The 20,497-nt window shown below is 38.2% G+C and overlaps 1 protein-coding gene across 48 annotated transcripts in view; it reads right to left on the bottom strand.

Moving 5' to 3' along the window:
• OSBPL6 (oxysterol binding protein like 6) overlaps window positions 1–20,497 on the bottom strand; it is a 209,120-nt gene that overhangs the window by 103,420 nt on the left and 85,203 nt on the right. For all 48 annotated transcript variants that reach the window (XM_047443146.1, XM_047443150.1, XM_047443130.1 and 45 more), the window contains one exon: window positions 14,353–14,547. The gene's annotated coding sequence lies outside the window, so the exon portion shown is untranslated. The remainder of the gene's footprint in view (window positions 1–14,352; window positions 14,548–20,497) is intronic.

Here is a 20,497-nt window from a genome sequence, read left to right as displayed (position 1 = left end):
TAACAAAGAATATTCTAAAAAATAATGAAAGATACTTTACTTATCACACACTAAAGCTATTTAACAGCTTCCCTGGTTAATAGTAGTAGTACAGGGCCAGGAAAAGCAAATGGAACAGACAAGAATTCTAGAAACTAGTCTATGCAACGACAAAAAGGATCTTAAAAATATCAGTAAGAATATTATTCAGTGCAAAAAAGATATGAGCTATCAAGGCCATGAAAAGACATGGAAAAACCTTAAATGCATAGTAAGTGATCATTTCACCAGTAATAATTTTCCAAGACTTGTCAGTCACTTTTTGATTCATCACTTGGTTTCTGGCCTTTGCCAACATGTTTTGAAAGAAAGATTAGATAATGTCATAGCTCATATTTTAACAGAAAAATAATACTGGGAAATATGGTTTCAATGACTGCTAACAGATACCAATTGTCAGCACAGTGCTAAGACTTTTTGGCAACAATAAGACATAACAAAATATTTTGCCCTACTTTGTGACCTTAAATGATGACTCATAAATCCCTAGGTGTGTACAAATTCTTACTAAGGCACTATATGATTTCAACAGTACATGTCCTGTTCTCTGGAGCAATTTCCTGTCAAAACAACCATTTCTGCACTGAGTCAAGGCATTCTGAGGAGTTGGCTAAAGCAGACAAAATGACTTGGGTTAAAAATGTCCTTGAACCAACCCTTGTGCATTGCTGGTGGGAATAGAAAATGATGTAGGTCCTGTGGAGAACAGTACGGCAAAAAAAAAAAAACAAAAAAAAAAGCAACTAAAAATAGGCTGGGCATGGTGGCTCACACCTGTAATCCCAGCACTTTGGGAGGAAGAGGTGGGCAGATCACCTGAGGTCTCTAATAAAAATACAAAACATTAGCTGAATGTGATGGTACTTGCCTGTAATCTCAGCTACTCAAGAGGCTGAGGCAGGAGAATTGCTTGAACCTGGGAGGTGAAGGCTGCAGCGAGCTGAGCTCGTGCCACTGCACTCCAGCCTGGGCAACAAGAGCAAAACTCCATCTCAAACAAACAAAAAACTAAAAATAGATTGCCATATGATCCAACAATTCCACTTTTAGGTATATGCCCCAAAAGAACTAAAATCACAGGCTAAGATACTGTACAACCATGTCCATAGCAGCATGTAGCCAAAATGCGGAAGCAACCCAAGTGTCCATCAATGAATGAATGAATATATTTAAAAAAGGGTTATATCCATACAATGGAATATTATTCAGCCTTAAAAAGGAAGGAAATTCTGACACATGTAATGACACAGATGGACCCTGAAGGCATCATTTTAAAGTGAAATAAGCTAGGCACAAAAGAACAAAAAACAAATACTGTATGATTTCACTTATATGAGATATGAGGTATGCAAAGTAGTCAAATGTATAAAGACAGAAGGTAGAATGGTGGTTATCAGGGTCTGTAAGGAGGAGGAAATGGGAAGAGTTGTGTTTAGTGGTTACAGAATTTCACTTTGAAAGATGGAAAGGTTCTGGAAATGCATGGTGGTGATGGATACCAAACAATGTGAATGCACTTAATGATACAGAAGTGGACACTTCAAAGCAGTTAAAATGATAAATTTTATGCTACATATTTTACTACAATAAAAAGTTCCTGAATCACCAGCTATTATGACTTCTACAATATGCAGACATTAATTTTATACTATTTTGTGGTCAAGTTTCATCTTCTTTATGAAATCTTTCCAACCTATTAGACAGAATTGTCACGCCAATCTGCATTTCTTCTATACATACACATACATATATTTCTGAACATATACTGCACTGTATTTATTTGACTTGATTCTGTAAGATCCATGAAGGTGAGGAGTATGTCACTTTTCTCATCATAGTCAAATGTCATGAGCCACAAAAGCCATTCAGGTTGTTTACTGAGCTTATCACTTTAATTAGGACTTAAATCTTCCATCATTATATCCATTAAATAACATTGATTGTGCTTGCAGACTGTAGATATCCACCCTAATATTAGTTCTTTTTCTTTTCTAATTTTTTTGAGATGGTGGTCTCACTATGTTGCCCAAGCTGCTCTTGAACTCCTGGACTCAAGCAATCCTCTCACTTCAGCCTCCCAAAGTGTTGGGATTAGAGGCGTGAGCCACTGTACCCAGCCTAGTTCTTTAATTTTACTATATTTGCCTAAAGATAACCCAAAATAATCCACATGCTTTGTAGACTGGAGTTTCCTATCTGTTCAATAGTGAGCTGGAGAGAAAGACTGTACAAGGTTCAACATTCCCAAGATAAAATCTCTCAGTTGTCCTAAAAAAAAAGGCCTGCCAGACTGCTAACAGTACTATAGGGGCCTGAGGGACATTAGGAATAGGAAATAGATGCAGTAGCATTAATTCTTTCAAAACACCACTGATGGGTTAGCCTGGCCACACAGAATTATGGCACCTGGCACCTGATTTACTAGATACCATCTACTAATTACAACATCTCATGGTCAGGAATCTTAAGCAGAATTTTGAAAACCTGTCATCCTCCAGAATAGCAGTGTTTATGCAAGCCATTACCCACATATCAGGATGTCCAAAATTCTACTCGTGTTGGGCATTCGAGCATGAGTGTTGGTTTCAATTATTGCTCATTCATTGTTACATGAGAGAAGGAACAGCTGACATAACCGAGAATCCACTGCCAGGTCCCAGGTTCTGCAGCCTTGTGAACTCATTTAATTGGAGTGTGGTAACCTTGGCACGTATCTAGTGGTGAGCTGGAGCTGGCTTGCACTAGCTCAGGAGCTATGTGCATCTCTCCCCAGTTTAGGGCTTCAAAGACATTCCCCTGGGACCTTGAAATAGACTATGGTGGGAGTATCTATGCCATGTGAATGCTTCAAATCTGGGCTTTTTGTTTTGTTTTGTTTTGTTTTTAAGAGCTGATTGTTAAACATTTGCCAGTACACCAGTGTGTGTGGTGGTTTTCATTGTAGTGGTTTCTCTTGTAGTGGTTTTCATTTTTATTTTTACTCTAAAATATCCCATGGATTGCCTGGGTTTGAAGCCAGTCCCAACACCGCCATTTCCTAGCTATGAAACCTCAGGCAATTTACTGAAGTCTCTCTTTGCTTCAGTTTCCTCATCTATAAAACAGGGATAGTAATAACTCTTCTTCACAAACCCCAAGCTTGGGAAATGGCAGTGCTAATCATCTACTACATAGGTTCTCAAGGGTACCATTGGGATCAACGTGTCACTTGGGAACTTCCTGGAAATGCAAATTCTTGAGTTCATCTATGCTTGTGAATCAAAACCTCTGAGGGTGGTGCCCAGCAATCTGTGCTTTAATAAGCCTGCCAGCAGGCAGCAGGTATGCCGAGTTGCCAATTGGGCCCCATTCTTCACTGGCCTAACACCAACAAAACTAGGGAATAGTAACACAGTATCAGACACAGAATCACCGCCAACTCACAGACCTAAAGCCCCAAAAATAAAGGAATTGCTAAGATTTTTCCTCTGAAATTAAGAAAGTTTTGGAACAAGAATTTTAGAGATAATTAAAGCATGTAGCATTTAACCTGTATATATTCCTAAATGGTTTTTATACTGCAAATTAGTTTTAACAACTTTAGATAGCTTACAAAAAATGACTTTCTTATAAACACAGTACCTCCATTAATTTTTTATTATAATTAATCTTTAAATAATTTTATTTTTATTATAATTGTGTTTTATTACAATTTTTATTATATAAACACAACACCTTCCAATAAGGAAAACAAATCAAAAAGCTCTATCATGAGCCCACAGGACTTCCATTGTCCACTAATCCTTGCAATTGCAAAGTGTATCAGATTCCAGATTCAGTAACCCAAGGAGATAACCCAGTCACTGTCTTTGACTAGATGGGGGATGGAGGGTAGGTGGTGCTCTGCAAAGCTTTCATGCAAAGGGTCAGACAGAAAATATTTCAGGCGTTGTGAACCATACAATCTCTGCTGTGGCTACTCAAACTGCCGTTGTAGTGGAGAAGTAGCCTTAGACAATATTCAAGTGAATAAACATGATTATGTTCCAATAAAACTTTATTTATAATAACAGGCTGCATATTTGGCTTGTGGGCTATAGTGCTGAACCTTGGAGTAACCGCTAGACTATGAAATAACAAGATGCATTCTTAGAACCAGGTGTTGGCAAGTACTTTCAAAGACTGTAGATTACTAAACAGCATCCCATGGCAGGCAGGTCTGTTAATCTGCACTACAGTTGGTAAATCATTTACACAGGACATTCTGAATTTAATTGCTTCTCACCAACTCCAGATTTCCCTATCTCCCCTAACACGTGAAAGAAGATACTTTATGCTTGCAAATGTACAAATTGAAAAATATTAATAAGATAAAAGAGGAACTTGTTTTCATCAAAGTTTTATTTATAATGTTAGTTTCATTAAAAACCCCATGAGAAAAAGAATTGCTAAGATCCACCTGAAGGATAAAACCCTAAGTAGTCCAAGAGTATTTTAGGAAAATGTATGAACTAAAAAGAAAAAAAGACCTCGAAAATTGCTAAGAGAGTAGATTTTACATGTTCTCACCACAAAAAAAAAAAAAAAAGCTAATGGTGAGGTAATGCACATGTTAATTAGCTCAATTCAGCCGTGCCCTCAAGTCTATATATTTCAAAACATGTTGTACGTAATCAAAATATACAATTTTGATTTGTTGATTTTTAAAAATCCAGAAATGTTCCAAAAAAAAAAAAAAATAGCTGTGGTGGCCGAAACTAACTTACAATGGTTTGACTTAGAATTTTCCGACTTTATGATAGGTTAATCTCATCATAAATTGAGGAACAGCTATACTAAAATCTCTTCTCCTAAAGCTGATGTTATCCCTTAATCATCATCCTACATTCCAGAAGATATCTGTTTTAAACATTAAATGCAACAACCTGCTCTTAGCACTAAAATTTAGCTCATGAAAATCTTCAAACATTTGAGTAGCTTAATTGTACCTTTCAAAAAACGTTTTCCAATCAATATTGGATAATTTTAAGACGTCTGTTATCATGTATTATTTGGTAATGATGATGACTGTCTCACTCTCTTTCTGCCTTTGAAACCAAATCTGGAGAAATATGTCTATTCAAAATATTTTTTAGATTCTAAAAATATCTAGTTATTTAGGTTTTACCTCCTTTTTCAATTAGGTTCAAAATTGGTATAACCCATAATTATATGGAACAATGCAGTGCATTTATTCTAGGCATAAGACACCTAGTGGGAAAGTAGAATAAAATAATTGAAAGAGAAACTGAATCAGAAAATCCAGGACATGCAGTCAATGTGCACATGGTGACTGCTGATAATTCTTTGTTTTTCTGAATACTTCATTATTATTTGAATAAAATACTCAAATGGATTTTTTTAAAGACTAAGAACTCACTGTCAAGTCCTAGATCCTAAAGATTTTCTCCTATTTTTTTCTAAAAGTTTTATAATTTTACTTTTTATATTTAAATCTGTGATCTATTTTGAGTTAATTTTATATAAGGTATAAAATTTAGAGGTTCACTGTTTTATATACAGATGTCCAATTGCTCGAGCACTATTTGTTGAAAAGGCTATTCTTCTTTCATTAAATTGCTGTTGTGCCTTTGTCAAAAATTAGTTGGCAGAGGCTGGGAAGGGTAGTGGAGGGTGGGGGGAGGTGAGGATGATTAATGGGTACAAAAAATAGTTAGAATGAGTGAATAGGGCCTAGTATTTAATTGCATAACAGGGAGACTATAGACAATATAATTTAATTGTACATGTAAAAATAACTGAAAGAGTATAATTGGATTGTAACACAAAGGATACATGATTGAGGGATAAATACCCCATCTTCCACGATGTGATTACACATTGCATGCCTATATCAAAACATCTCATGTGCCCCATAAATATATACACCTACTACATACCCACAAAAATTAATCATAAAAATTTTTTAAAAATTAGTTGGGCACAAAGAAAAGCAAAAACGTAAACTAACTCTATTTGTAGGTTGTATTGGATTGCTGAAGTTTAAGAAATTAAAATGAAGCATTTTAGATTATTTTTTGTCTAGTTTGAAAATAAGCAATGGGACAAAAGTCCAAAATGGAAAGAGAATTCAGATCACGGGTTCTCCCACCCACCACTCTCCCCAAAACCCCTTTCTGTGGAAGTGTGGCTTCTTCATCTTTGTAAATCTAAGCAACACTGTACTTGATTCAGTACACATTTTGGCATTTCTTCACCAGTATCTTTCTTTTAAATGTTTTATTTTGGAATAATTTTAGATTTGCAGGAAAGATACAAAAATACTATGGGAAGTTCCCATACACCCTTTACCCGAGACTTCCTCCAGTTTTCACCAGTTTTTCAGAAGCTGACAAAACAAGACATTTTCATCTGAAACTTTAACTACTTATAGTGCCAGTTGAAAAAAAATAGACATTTGAAAATAAATTCAAATGCCAAAACTGCAGTTATTGTTTAAATAAACTCTACAGTACTTTCAAATTTGGTATTCTAAACATGAAAAAGTCAGCAAATCACCCTGCAGTTCTCAGATCAAGTGTTACCTCAGAATAGGCACACACCTTGTCACTTTCTAGAACAATACTCTTTTCATTTCCTTCATAGCTCTTATCTCACGCAGTATTTATATTATCTGTGTACTGGCTTACTGTCTGTCTCCAGAGACCTCATCTGTCTTGTTTCCTGCTCTCCTTGTTATAACCCCAGGGCCCATAACAGTGCCTGGAGGATACTGAGTGGACACTCAATAGACTTTGCTGGATGAATGAATGGATGGATGGATGAATTAAAGCCTGTCTGAATGACCAAACACTTGAGATATAGAGGGGATGATGTAAGACACATGATAAAAGACATCTATTTAGATGACTCTTAGTTCTAAAACGTTAAACCTTTAAATAACTAGCACCAGCCATATACAGTTGAAGTTTTGGGGAGCGTGTGTGTTTTTCCTTCATCTTTGTAGTCATTTCTTCCAAGAGCAAAGTTTAGAATTGTTGCTTGGAAAGCCAAACCTTTCAAAGGAGATTTGTGTTGTTGGTTCACTGCAACAGTAGTTCCTGTCATTAATCATTTGATATGCAAAGTGAATAAAGTAAAATTTTAAATTACCATCAAAGTTAGACTTATTAAAATATTAATCATTCTTCTGTATGTAAAACATATTTGAAAAATAATTCACAAATGTTGGATTTCAATTTTATGGTCATTTGGGAACAAGATATTTTGAGAAGACGGGTTAAAAGTTTACTGGAAGGTCCTGTACCAATCATTGAGTTTCGGGGAAAAAAAAGTTTACTGGAGGGTGGGGGATGGGAGGAGGAGGGAGAGGATCAGGAAAAATGACTAAGGGGTACTAGGCTTAATCTGGGTGATGAAATAATCTGTACAACAAACCCCCATGACATGAGTTTACCTATATAAAAAACCTGTATATGTACCCCTGAACCTAAAATAAAAGTCAAAAATGAAAGTTTAAAAGACAAAAGGGGGAATGGTCTAGATCTCCATCTTCCCTTCCATTGCCTACCTCTGAGATTCAGGTTCAAGGAATTAACTGGTTGTAGGAAAAAGACATCAAGGATGAATGGATGGATGGATGGATGGATGGATGGATGGATGGCAGGCAGGAAGGAAAACAGGGAAGGAGGAAAGGAAAAAGGGAGGAAGGAAGGAAAGAAAGGAAGGAGGGAGGGAGGGAGGGAGGAAAGAAGGAAGGAAGGAAGGAAGGAAGGAAGGAAGGAAGGAAGAGACTACCTGTTCCTATATTTTCTATGAACACTAACATTCTCCACGGGTCAGATATAACAAAATGTGTCCAGGAAACAATGCACTTGGTCACTTGACAAACCAAAGAAGAGAAAACCATTCCAAAACAAGTACCGTAAGTATCCATTTATCAAATAAAAGGAAGCAATAAAAAGAAGAAGCAATAAAATAAAAACACTGGAACACCTTCAGTCTCTCTGCTTTATTTAGAGTGTTTATCTTTCCTTTGTTTCTGGACCTGCATGATGATGAACAGTGGACACTAACAAAGCCATTCAATATGGCACACACTGATCTACCATCCAAAATGTACAATCATCCCACTGTCACTCCTGGAACACCTGCGTATGATGCAGTGAGTTGCAAATAACTCAGATAATCTGGTGAACTAAAGATTTAATAGACTGAATATCACTGCCAAGAAACATATCAACATTAATACTAAAAATGGAGTTGGGGAGAAAAATTCATCTTCTGTCTTCATACAGAAATTTTGAATGACTAAAAATAATAGTGATAATAAAAGGTAAAAAAAAAAACACCTCATAGTTAACTCTTTATTCTGTAAGATTTTCTCTACATAAAAATATAACAATAATTAGTAGTTTTCATGCTGAAATTATTAATTTGAAACTATTTTGTGTGCCCAAAGGATAAAGTAAATACATTTATAATGCTGTTTTGAACCAATGGTTTCAATGTAAAAGAAAAAAGATACAAATATAAAATTAAAAAATTAAGACTCCATAAAGTTAACTCAGGAAAATCAGCATGAACTCATCATTTTTTTTTTCTTTTTGGACACATGTATTTCCCACCTTGTTTCCTGAAAAGGCATGGAAACACTGACAACCCATGGAAATGAGCACCCCTAGTGCCTGACTATAGTTTCTAAATTCTGTTTCCTATTAAAAAGAACCAGGCTGCTTAGAATGGCTGATTCTTAGACTGGGGTATGGAATGCACAAAAAGAATTTGGGGCAACCTGTTGTATCAAAAAGTAGAGTCAAAGAAATTAATAGGACCAGGGATGCTTTGGGGATGTTCTGTATCTTGGTCTGGGTGCTGATTATATAGGTGTGTCCAGTATGTGCAAATTCACTGTGATTCACATATGATAGGTTCTCTTTTCTATACGTATACACAGGAGCCAGGTTGAAAGGGCTCATAATGAACAAAGAAGGTTTTGTTTGAGCATCAAAATGAAAAAAAAAAAAAAAAACCACTACAATTAAGTATGTGAAACATAACAAATATTTTTTTAAATCCTTGAATTTACAATGATTCTCAAGAAAAAAGGGAAGTTTCTCGCTAAAAAGCAGAAATATCACCTTTTGAAGAAACTATAGCACCAACTCTGATATTGTCAATTACTAGGGAAATATTAAGCAATCACCCTGCCCTTCCTATATGAACTGTATTTCAGGGCCACCAAATACTAGTTGATGATGGAAGTTCTTTATAAAAGAATGACAGCTAACAAATGTAGAAGGAATAATAGGATGGGGTGGGGGTCACCATTTTTATAACCCCTAATGACATAATGTATTCAGGCAATGATTATTGGCTGACAAAATCATGAAGTGAAAAAAACGGATGGGGTAACTTTAGAACAGGGGGATCAGGATGTTCTTCCCCGAAACACGGTCCAATGACAGCATCACTAAAAGTGGGGTAACTAGACCATATGTGCCTCCTGAGGTGGCACTACGTAAAGTACACAGCAAAAGGAAGCAGAATTCTTGCCAGAATAGTTAGATCTGAATCCAATCAAGCCTCTTGATCTAACTTCCAAGTTCTAGTAAATCTGAGTAATAGAGAAAAAAGTTAAGTAACAACAATCAGCCAAACCTAGTATGTGGAAAGTTCTATTCCCAAAGTGGCTTAACTTCAACAAGTGAATGACTTGAGAAAAGAAAGGGAATATTCTAGATAAGAGTTTTATGAGACTCAATAGCCAAATGAAATGTATGCACTTCTTCAGATCTGGTTCAAATAAACCAACTATTAAAAGAGAATTTTGAGACAATCAGGGAAATTTGAATATGGAATGAGTAGTAAATGATACCAAAGAAGTATCATTCATATTGTTAGGTGTGACATGGCAATATGGTTCTGTAGGAAAATGTGCATATTAAAATATGCCTACTGGAAAATGCAGGGGTGGATATGACATGATGTCTACTTCTAATGACTTCTGATAAATGGAGAAGGAGATAGATGAATCTGAGTGTGTGCGTATGGTTGTTCATTATGCTATTCTTATACAAAAGCCTAAGTTTGAAATTTTTTCAAATGAAATGTATTTTTAAAATATAGAAAACAAAAACTGGCTGGGCACAGTAGCTCACGCCTGTAATCCCAGCACTCTGGGAGGCCGAGGCGGGTGGATCATGAGGTCACGACTTTGAGACCAGCCTGGCCAATATGGTGAAACCCCATCTCTACTAAAAATACAAAAATTAGCTGGGTGTGGTGGCACGCATCTGTAGTCCCAGCTACTCGGGAGGGTGAGCCAGGAGAATCGCTTAAGCCCAGAAGGCAGAGGTTGCAGGGAGCCAATATTGCACCACTCTACTCCAGCCTAGGTGACAGAGCGAGACTCTGTCTCAAAAAAAAAAAAAAAAAAAGAAGAAAAAGAAAAAGAAAACAAAAATCAACAGAAGAAAAAAGTCTTAATAAAGAAAAAACGTCCCTGGCCGGGCACGGTGGCTCACACCTGTAATCCCAGCACTTCAGGAGGCCAAGGCGGGTGGATCACTTGAGGTCAGGAGTTCAAGACCAGCCTGGCCAACATGGTGAAACCCCGTGTCTACTGAAAATATAAAAAATTAGCTGGGCGTGGTGGCGGGCGCCTGTAATCCCAACTACTTGGGAGGCTGAGGCAGGAGAATCACATGAACTCGGGAGGCAGAGGTTGTAGTGAGCTGAGATCGCGCCACTGCATTCCAGCCTAGGCAACAAGAGCGAAACTCCCTCTCAAAAAATTTAAAAAAAAAAAAAAAGTCCCTTTTCCCTACTATTTATATATGAAAACCTTGATATGAACAGTATACTCCTTTTTTTCCCCCACTTAGTTACTTATACAGTTATACATACTTTTACTGGATATGTATTCAAGGTACAATTTATTTTTCAGAACTGGTCTAAATCTTTCAGGTGTTTGGGCGACTCATTTTTCTAAAACCTCACAAACCAGATTGTGATGGACAATGAATGCACAGGCGAGAGCTGGCCTGGGGCACAGCCCTTCTCTCTGGACAAAGAATCTTCTCTTGTCCCTCCTTTGTTTCCATACTTTTCAACAGGCAAGAACGAAGTTTTGGGGTCTCACTCCTTTTCCCTGGAGAGAGGAGGTGGCTACTGGCCTGCTACTTCCTCTGGGTCCCTCAGCTCTTCAGATTAGGTGCTCCTTGAGCAGAAGAGACCCCCTTTAACCTGAGGGAAAGCCCAGGACAGGAAGAAACAGGGCAGGTGAAATGGTGTCTGCATTGCCAATTCCTGCTTGCTATTCTCTCCATTTCCACTACTCCAGGGGGAAGTCTCATGACCCAAAAATGATAAAAGGGAGTCAATGGCAGCTTCCTCACCATGTCAGGGTTGAATACTCTTTCTCCTCTTCCACTTTTTACCTAACCATGTTATTTTTGCTCACTGGTTAGTTTTACTTAAAAAAAAAAAAATCAACCTGTTTCATATGTCAACAACAGCTCCTAAGCCCTCCCTACAATTTTTCCCCCATTTCCCCATTTTTTCGGTCTTAGTTGTCACTTCCTCAGGGAGTTAAAGGAAATGGAATGTGGAGCTGATAACAGGAACTCCAAGAAAACGAGATAAGAAGGTTTTCTGAAAGCATTTCTGAGTGTACATGCACACATACTCTTTAATTCCTGTAACCAAAGAAATAAAAGCAAATTTCTTTCTTATTTTTTTGTGGGGGGTAGATGGGGGGAGATAGGCTCTATGAATCTAGCAAACAAAATTCATGTAGAAAATGAGATATCAATCACCTGAAATTCCCCTTCAAAAAAGAATTCAGTTTTTTTCTCCTATAGTCAAGTCACAACTCAGCAAAAGTGTGGAAACAAATTTTCAGGTACTTTATTTCCATGAACTTAAACTTGATACTCAAAGGGACTCATGCACGATTTCAACTCTGCATGTTGTCAAGTATTGAGAGATCCTAGGCAATACTGATCTAACAGAATCCATGAGATGGAGCAAAGTAATGCAGGCAGAAGGAAACTAAGATACTCAAAATAAAAATCCCACCCATTGGCCTTCTTTCCTATGTGCCTCAACATTTAAAAATGGATACCAATCAAGAAGAGATTTACAATGTGTCTGATGTATCTAGGGGGGAGAAATGGATACCCTGTGGCCTGAAATCTGCTTAAATAACAGGCATTACCAGTTGGACTCTAAATGCATTATGGGAAAATATCTGTAAATCTTATTTTTTAAGTAAAATAATTTGTTTTTTTTTTTTTTTTTTTTAAAAAAAGAAGAACCATTGTTTTAGGAGTATGTCAGTTTCCCCACGTTGAGTTTAGCTAATGCAGGCACAGAAATGCTATGCCTATAAGGACCCTATGATTTGAAATGCTTCCATGGTTAAAGTATTTTATTACCATATAAACATTTGGTTCAATATCAAATTGACAGAAACATTACGCATGAATTTCATTTAGCAACAATATATAGCAATCAAAGATGAGGAAAGACAAGTTTGTGAGTAACTACAACTCACTGTGATGGAGGTATGTCTAACTCTGACGGCAAGATTTCTCAATGCTAAAAGCTCTGCACATATAGAGGGCATAGCATTACTGTTCTCTGAGTCGCCCTGGTGTCCAGAATGAGTGAGGGCCTAGAAAATGGACTCTAAATCCCTACGGGGGTCATTCAAAAAGAAGGCTACTTGGTGAATCAGTTTACGTCCCTGGAACCAAAACAGTCAGATCAGGCAACTGAACTCTTAGGTCATGAAATATCAGACCCTGAGATGACACCCTCCACATCTGGAAAAAATGATGCAGAGCACATCACTATGAAAATTAGATCTCCTTAAGCCCATGGCCTGAAACATCTTATCTTTGAAAAGTCTTCTTACTTCATAGGTAAGCCTGGCTGGCAAGTGTCAGCTTCTCAAAGCTCATACATTTTATATAAAATAATAAATGCTAAAATAATAGCAGAGGATAAATACTAATAGAATGTTATATTAAAGTACATAGAAGTGACCTCATATACAGAGAGCAGAAGAAATTGATGCTTAAAGCAGGACTCTTGAACTCAAAAGCCTACGTGTCCCAGGCAGGTGCCATAATCTGTAAGATTGGTTTGGTTAAATATTTAGGGAATGCAAAATACTAGCAAAGTACAGTTACTAGGATAGTAACAAGACCAGATTTTTAATCTTCCAAGAGAAACCAGATATCTGATCTATCTGATTTTTATGTGAAGTTTCCAGATTTTCAAATGTTGGCAATTAATTTTCTTATAAAAAGAAAATTTTTACAGGTTAAAAAATGTTAGCAAAAAATTTGGCCTGTGGGCTACTTTGCAAGCTCTAATCTAAAATGCGCTTTTAAACAATACAGTAATAAACAGAAAGCTTCTAATATAACAATGATTACACTAAATTACTGAGCCTTGGTTTCTGCTCTACCAAGAGGAACCAGTCCACGCTAGGAAAGGGCGGGAATGGCATCAGGATACAAAAGAAACTTTCCCAAATCATATATGTCTGAATTGTCATCACCACTACCACCACCATCCCTGTGCCCCTGGCAAATAAGGTTTGAGCAGAGGATGTGCAGCTTGTAAAAAGCTCCCGAAGACGATTAATGCCACAAACTTCCACCCTGGGGATGGCTGACCTTGAAGAAATAGAAAGCTTTGGATAACTGGGAGGGTGCAGCTAAGTGGTGAAGACCACAAACTCAGTAGGCCTAAGATATCAAATAGTTATATAAAGCGGCTCTAAAATAATAACCACAAATATCAAAGATGACAAGGATACCACAAAAAGTATTGCTAGTACCACAGCCATTTCAGTCTCATGAGCAAAAAGAAAAGTTGACTGTCTCATTGTTTACTATGGAAGATTATAAAAACTGGATGCATTTTAAGAATGTGTACCTGTAGTCAAATGTGGGTTTGTGGATATGTGTATAAAGAAAGCAAGGATAACATTTTGGCTATTTTAAGGTTTAGGTCTGCACGTTCATTGCTCAAGAAGGGAAAAGCAGTATCATATTTCCACATGATGCCAGACTACATACAGAAAACAGAAAATGGTTACCAAATATTTTCACATTTTTCTACTTCCTATCCTTAAAAAAAAAAGAACTTTTTATTATAAGGATTATGACATATTATTTTAAGATCTGACATACAAATAAGAGATATAAAGAAACACCTTCCTGTGACTTTGTGGTGTCCCACTAATCTGTTGCTATTATTAAGCGCTGCCTAACCTAACCCTGCTTTTGGTTTTAAGCTTGTGTTCTTCTAACTCACCTTGCACCTTGGAGTCAAAGTCTTCCAAGTCAGCTTTATGGTCAAAGCTGTTTCACAGTGATTTATCCTCAGATGCCTGCAGCTTTTCTCCTTGGGACATGATATGTCTTTGACCTTGCTGGGGCTATCTGGGTAAATTATAGGGGTGGCTCCTTAATATCCTTCTGTTGCTGTTTTCCCAGCAAGTGGCAGAACCTGAAAAAGAGAGATTACAGTCATATAGTACATCTTTACAAAACTTTCGTGAGCCTCTCACGGGGACTGCCTATGGCCAATCAGAAAATTCCTCCCAATTTATCTTTTGAACAGGAAGTTCATATGGGTACATGCCTCAGCTTTTTATCTCCTTTGTTCAGTTTTATGTAACCTCAAAGACGTAACCACTGACCTTCTCAGTAATCAGTAACATTCATAATTTACATCTCACCCAGAGCTTGGAGTATGAAAACTCTCAAGTGATATAGCAAATATTTCCTAAAAGGGGACAAAATATATTCTCCAGGACCACATTTAGCCCTCCAATTAAATATAAACCTCAACAGGGCTTTTTTGTTTGTTTGTTTTGTTTTGAGACAGAGTCTCGCTGCAATGCCCAGGGTGGAGTGCAATGGTGTGATCTCGGCTCACTGCAACCTCTGCCTCCTGGGTTCAAGTGATTCTCCTGCCTCAGCCTCCTGAGTAGCTGGGATTACAGGCACACGCCATCATGCCCAGCTAATTTTTTTATTTTTAGTAGAGATGGAGTTTCACCATGTTGGCCAGGCTGGTCTCGAACTCCTGACCTTGGATGATCTGCCTGCCTCGGCCTCCCAAAGGGCTGGGATTACAGGCTGAGCCACCATGCCTGGCCCAATAGAGTTTTTAAAAATAGTAAGTATGAAGTGGTTTCATCATACATGCACATAGATGTACAATCTCTAATGCCCTGAAAAAAACGCATGAACAGTCTCTAATTTGCTGTAGAAGAGAACTGTAGCCAAACTCCTAGAACAATCCTCTAGCAAGAAGAACAGACTCTATACATACTATAAAAGAATATAGTTTTTAACTTGACATAATTTCTCAGAAAGCAAAGAAACAGTATGCTATGGTTTGGATATAATTTGGCCTCACCAAGTCTCATGTTGAAATATGATCCCCGGTGGTGAAGGTGAGGCCTGGTGGGAGGTGTCTGGGTCACAGGAGCGGATCCCACATGAATAGCTTGGTACCATTCTGAGGGGTGAATTCTCACTTTTATATCCCACAAGAACTGATTGCTGAAAAAGAACCTGGGACTCCTTTTCTCTCTCTCTCTTGCTTCCTCTGTCACCATGTGATCTCTGCATAACAGCTCTCCTTCATCTTCTGCCACGAATGGAAGCAGCCTGAGGCCCTCACCAGAAGCAGATGCTAGCACCGTGCTTCTTATACAGCCTGCAGAACCATGAGCCAAATAAACCTCTTTTCTTTACAAATTACCCACCCTCAGGTATTCCTTTATGACAACACAAATGGACCAAAACACAGTATTTTTACAAGAGAATAAATTCATCATAAGATAAGAGAAAAATGTGACAAGTAATCCAAAGAAGTTACTCTCTGATCCTGAAACATGACAGACGTTTTTATCCTTCCAGCCATAAACCTCTCTAGCAGGCTCCTTTATTCACAAGCCAGCTTTAAAAATCACTCCCTGGGTTTGACTTTTTCAAGCCTATCCTTTCACTCTGTTTTAGTTTTCCTTTTTTTTTTTTACTTATTGAGAATGGGAAAAATGCACACACAAGCACATGTATACATACATACATATTCTAAGGCTACAACTTACTGAAACTGCAGAAGATTTATGTTTGGCCAGCATCCAATGCCATGATTGCCCCCTTAAGTACCATCTTTCTGCAAAAGTTTTTGTTCTAACTCCCCTTCCACTTCTTTAAATAACATTTTTAAAAAAAATTCTACTGTGTTGTAAGACGATTCCGTGTACCTTGTAAGTCCTGAGTAAAATTTAATTGTTGATTATGATGATGACCTTGAATACTAAGGCTAAGATCCATCAGAATTCTTTTTGTATGCTCAGCATTGCATCTTTTTATTTTCTGCACACTACTCAGTCTATGCTCTTTAATCTCATTTAATTACAGGCAGATGGAATATGAATTGTCAGCTATAGAAACTCCCCTAGCAGGCCAGGCGCAGTGGCTCACACCTGTAATCCCAGCACTTTGGGAAGCCAAGGTGGGTGAATCACCTGAGGTCAGGAGATCGAGACCAGCTTGGCCAACATGGTGAAACCCCATCTCTACTAAAAATACAAAAAATTAGCTGGGCATGGTGGCAGGCACCTATAATCCCAGCTACTTAGGAGGCTGAGGCAGGAGAATCGCTTGAAACCGGGAGGTAGAAATTGAAGTGAGCTGAGATCATGCCATTGCAGTCCAGCCTGGGCAACAAGAGCGAAACTCTGTCTAAAAACAAAAAACAAAAAGCAGAAACTCCCTTAGCCATCTCTTCCTTCCTCCTTCCTATGATGAACTCTGTCAAGCTTTGGAAACAGAGAAGACACTGATAAAGAGGAAAAAGAAAAGGCAAGCTAAAGAGTCCCCTGTGCTATCCTGCAGCTCTTTTTGCTCATTCACCCCCGTTCCTCTGTCCTAGTCTGATTCTCCACAAGTTCTTACCATTCTAAAATAACAAGTGGGAAGGTAAACCAGAAGAGAGGACCAAGGGGGTAAGATTAAGGCTTCCTTTCCTTCCCGCTGTTTCCTCCACTAAGCAGCAGCAGAGGGGAGGGATAAGACAAGTTGAATCTCACTAACCATATCTAAGGAATTCCTCCGCCCTCTCCCATCGCATCACATATGCTGTGTGTGTGTGTCCTTGGCTACCTGCCTATGTAAATAAAACCTTAGCCCAAGGAGCATCCATCTACTTCCTTCTTCTTTCGCCATAGTCTTTGCCAATACAGCCTTCAAAATCCAGCACAAAACTGCAACTCCCAACTCCTTCACTGATCTTTCCAGTTAGGAAGAAGAAGCTGCTCAGTACTTTTGGTCAGTTCTATTTGTGTCAGGCTGTCCTGGTCTTACAGTTTTATGTGTGAACTGTGTCTCCTATACCAGACTGTGTGTACTCCGGGAAGCAGGGACCGGACCTTAATTCTGTGCAAACAATTTTTTTCCTTTTAAGTTCTGGGGTACATGTGCAGGATGTACATGTTTGTTACACAGGTAAATGTGTGCCACGGTGGTTTGCTGCACCTATCAACCCGTCACCTAGGTATGAAGCCCCACATGCATTAGCTATTTCTCCTGATGCTCTCCCACCCACCACCCCCCTCACCACAGACCCCAGTGTGTGTTGTTCCCCTCCCTGTGTCCATGCGTTCTCATTGTTCAGCTCCCACTTATAAGTGAGAACATGCAGTGTTTAGTTTTCTGTTCCTGTGTTAGTTTGCTGAGGATAATGGCTTCTACCTCTGTCCATGTCCCTGCAAAGGACATGATCAAATACAGACACATAGACCAATGGGACAGCATAGAAAATAAGACTGCACGTCAACAACTATGGGATCTCTGACAAACGTGACAAAAACAAGCAATGGGGAAAGGATTCCCTATTTAATAAATGATGCTGGGAGAACTGGCTAGCCATATGCAGAAAACTGAAACTGGACCCCTTCCTTACACCTTATACAAAAATTAACTCAAGGCAGATTAAAGACTTAAATGTAAAACCTAAAACTATAAAAACCCTAGAAGAAAGTCTAGGCAATACCATTCAGGACATAGGCAAGGCAAAGATTTCATGAGGAAAACGTCAAAAGCGGCCGGGCACGGTGGCTCACACCTGTAATCCCAGCACTTTGGGAGGCCGAGGCAGGCGGATCACCTGAGGTCAAGCATTTGAGATCAGACTGGCCAACGTGGGAAAACCCTGTCTCTACTAAAAAATACAAAAATTAGCCAGGTGTGGTGGCGCATGCCTGTAATCCCAGCTATTCGGGAGGCTGAGACAGAATTGCTTGAACCTGGGAGGCAGAGGTTTCAATGAGCCTAGATCATGCCATTGCACTCCAACCTGGGCAACAGAGTAAGACTCCATCTCAAAAGAAAAAAAAAAAAAAAAAGTCAAAAGCAATTGCAACAAAAGCAAAAATTGACAAATGACATCTAATTAAACTAAAGAGTTTCTGCACAGAAAAAGAAACTACCAGAGCAAACAGACAACCTACACACTGGGAGAAAATTTTTGCAATCTATCCATCTCTGACAAAGGTCTAATAACCAGAGTCTACAAGGAACTTAAACGAATTTACAAGAAACAAACAAACAACCCCATTAAAAATTGGGCAAAGGATATGAATAGACACTTCTCAAAAGAAGACATTTATGCAGGCCTGCACACAATTGTTAACTCTGACACTGTGTGTTAGAGTTTAAAATAGAAATTTACAAGGTTTTGACTTACATGTATTCTGTAAGAAACTAATCTATTATTGTCTATTTTGCTATTAAATGCACGAAAGTGTATATTTTCACACAATGCATATGAAATGTCAAAGAACAGAGGTTTTGGCTTGTTCTGCAACCATAATTAATGTTCATGCGAATATTCTGTACAACCTTCAAAAAGACAACCAAGATGAAGTGTAGTACCCGCTATAACCTCCAGGGGGACTGAGTACTCTGAGTTAAAAATTACCACCACACTATTAACACATGGTTCAGTTATAACCAATCATCTCTGATAGTTACTCAAGCCAAAAATATTAGAAACATTTGTCTTAATTCAGCTTCAAAAGCTTGATTAGGACATACAGGTTTATATAGTCACATTCACATTCCAAATTTCTAGGTGACATATATTATTTTAGAAAGCCAGAGTTCACTAAGTGGCAATTCAACCTCATTTTATTTAATTTTATTTTTTTTAAATTTTTTTGAGACAGATCTCACTCTATTGCCAGGCTGGAGTACAGTGGTGCCATCTCAGCTCACTGCAACCTCCACCTCCCAGGTTCAAGCAATTATCCTGCCTCAGCCTCCCGAGTAGCTGGGACTACAGGTGTGCGCCACCATGCCCAGCTAATTTTTGTATTTTTAGTAGAGGCAGAGTTTCACCATGTTGGCCAGGATTGTCTAGATCTCTTGACTTCGTGATCCACTCGCCTCGGCCTCCCAAAGTGCTGGGATTCCAGGTGTGAGCCACCGCACCTGTCCCAACCTCATTTTAATTAAGAAATTTCACTGGGTCTTGTTTTACCTTGCACATAAACTGCATGCAGGGCAGAAGTCCAAAGGTGATAAGTGTATAAAGTTCAAGCCTGATTACTGCTTGTGACAAAGTACATTGAAGATTAATCCTTAAAGCCACACTAAGAAATACCCCAGTTAAGAAATATACTCAGAGATAGGAAGATTGGTTCTTTCAAAAAGTATAACCAAAATTGGCGTGCATGCGTGTGTGTGCATGCACACGCGTGCACACACATGCGTTTTCGTACAGCACATCTGGTTTTAACTGAAACACATTCACAATAGGAATCATGTTCTATTTAAACATATCCTCTGTAGATCAAAAAGGATGCTAACATTATCTTTCTAAATCATTAATGAGCAAAAGTTGTAAAGGTTGAAAAGGTTGATTTAAACAAAATTTCCCACACTAACCAGTACTAGCCAGTGGGCGTCTCTGGAAAATCTCATTCAGAAGAGTTTAGTGACTTGGCAATGGTTCCTTCTGAATGGCTCATTCAGGAAGCAAATGATCCATTATCTTTGCAACAGAATTTTCCTTTAAGCTATGTGACTAATCCTCCCAACAGCCTGGGTTTTGCCCACATGTTCTTGTCTAGTGCATTCCCCGCACATTCCTCTCCTTTCTTATTCAAGCCCATCAGAAACCAAGATGTAGTCTACCAAAGATTAGATTGTCCCATGTAGCTACTAGGTAAATGCATATAATGCAAAATGGAGACAAGATTAAGCAAACCCCAGCACTCTGTACAATAATAAAGAATTCCTAAAATAATAAAGACAACCAGAAGAGTTATCTATGTAATCTAGATAGCAAAGTCTATTTCATACCAAAAACAAGAAATGAGACACTTTTGATCATTTTCTCACATATGTGGGCCATGGTTTTATTTCAATGCTCACAC

This window comes from Homo sapiens, chromosome 2 (genome assembly GCF_000001405.40).
Source record: "Homo sapiens chromosome 2, GRCh38.p14 Primary Assembly".
NCBI lineage: Eukaryota > Metazoa > Chordata > Mammalia > Primates > Hominidae > Homo > Homo sapiens.
This window is presented reverse-complemented; position numbering and strand designations above follow the sequence as displayed.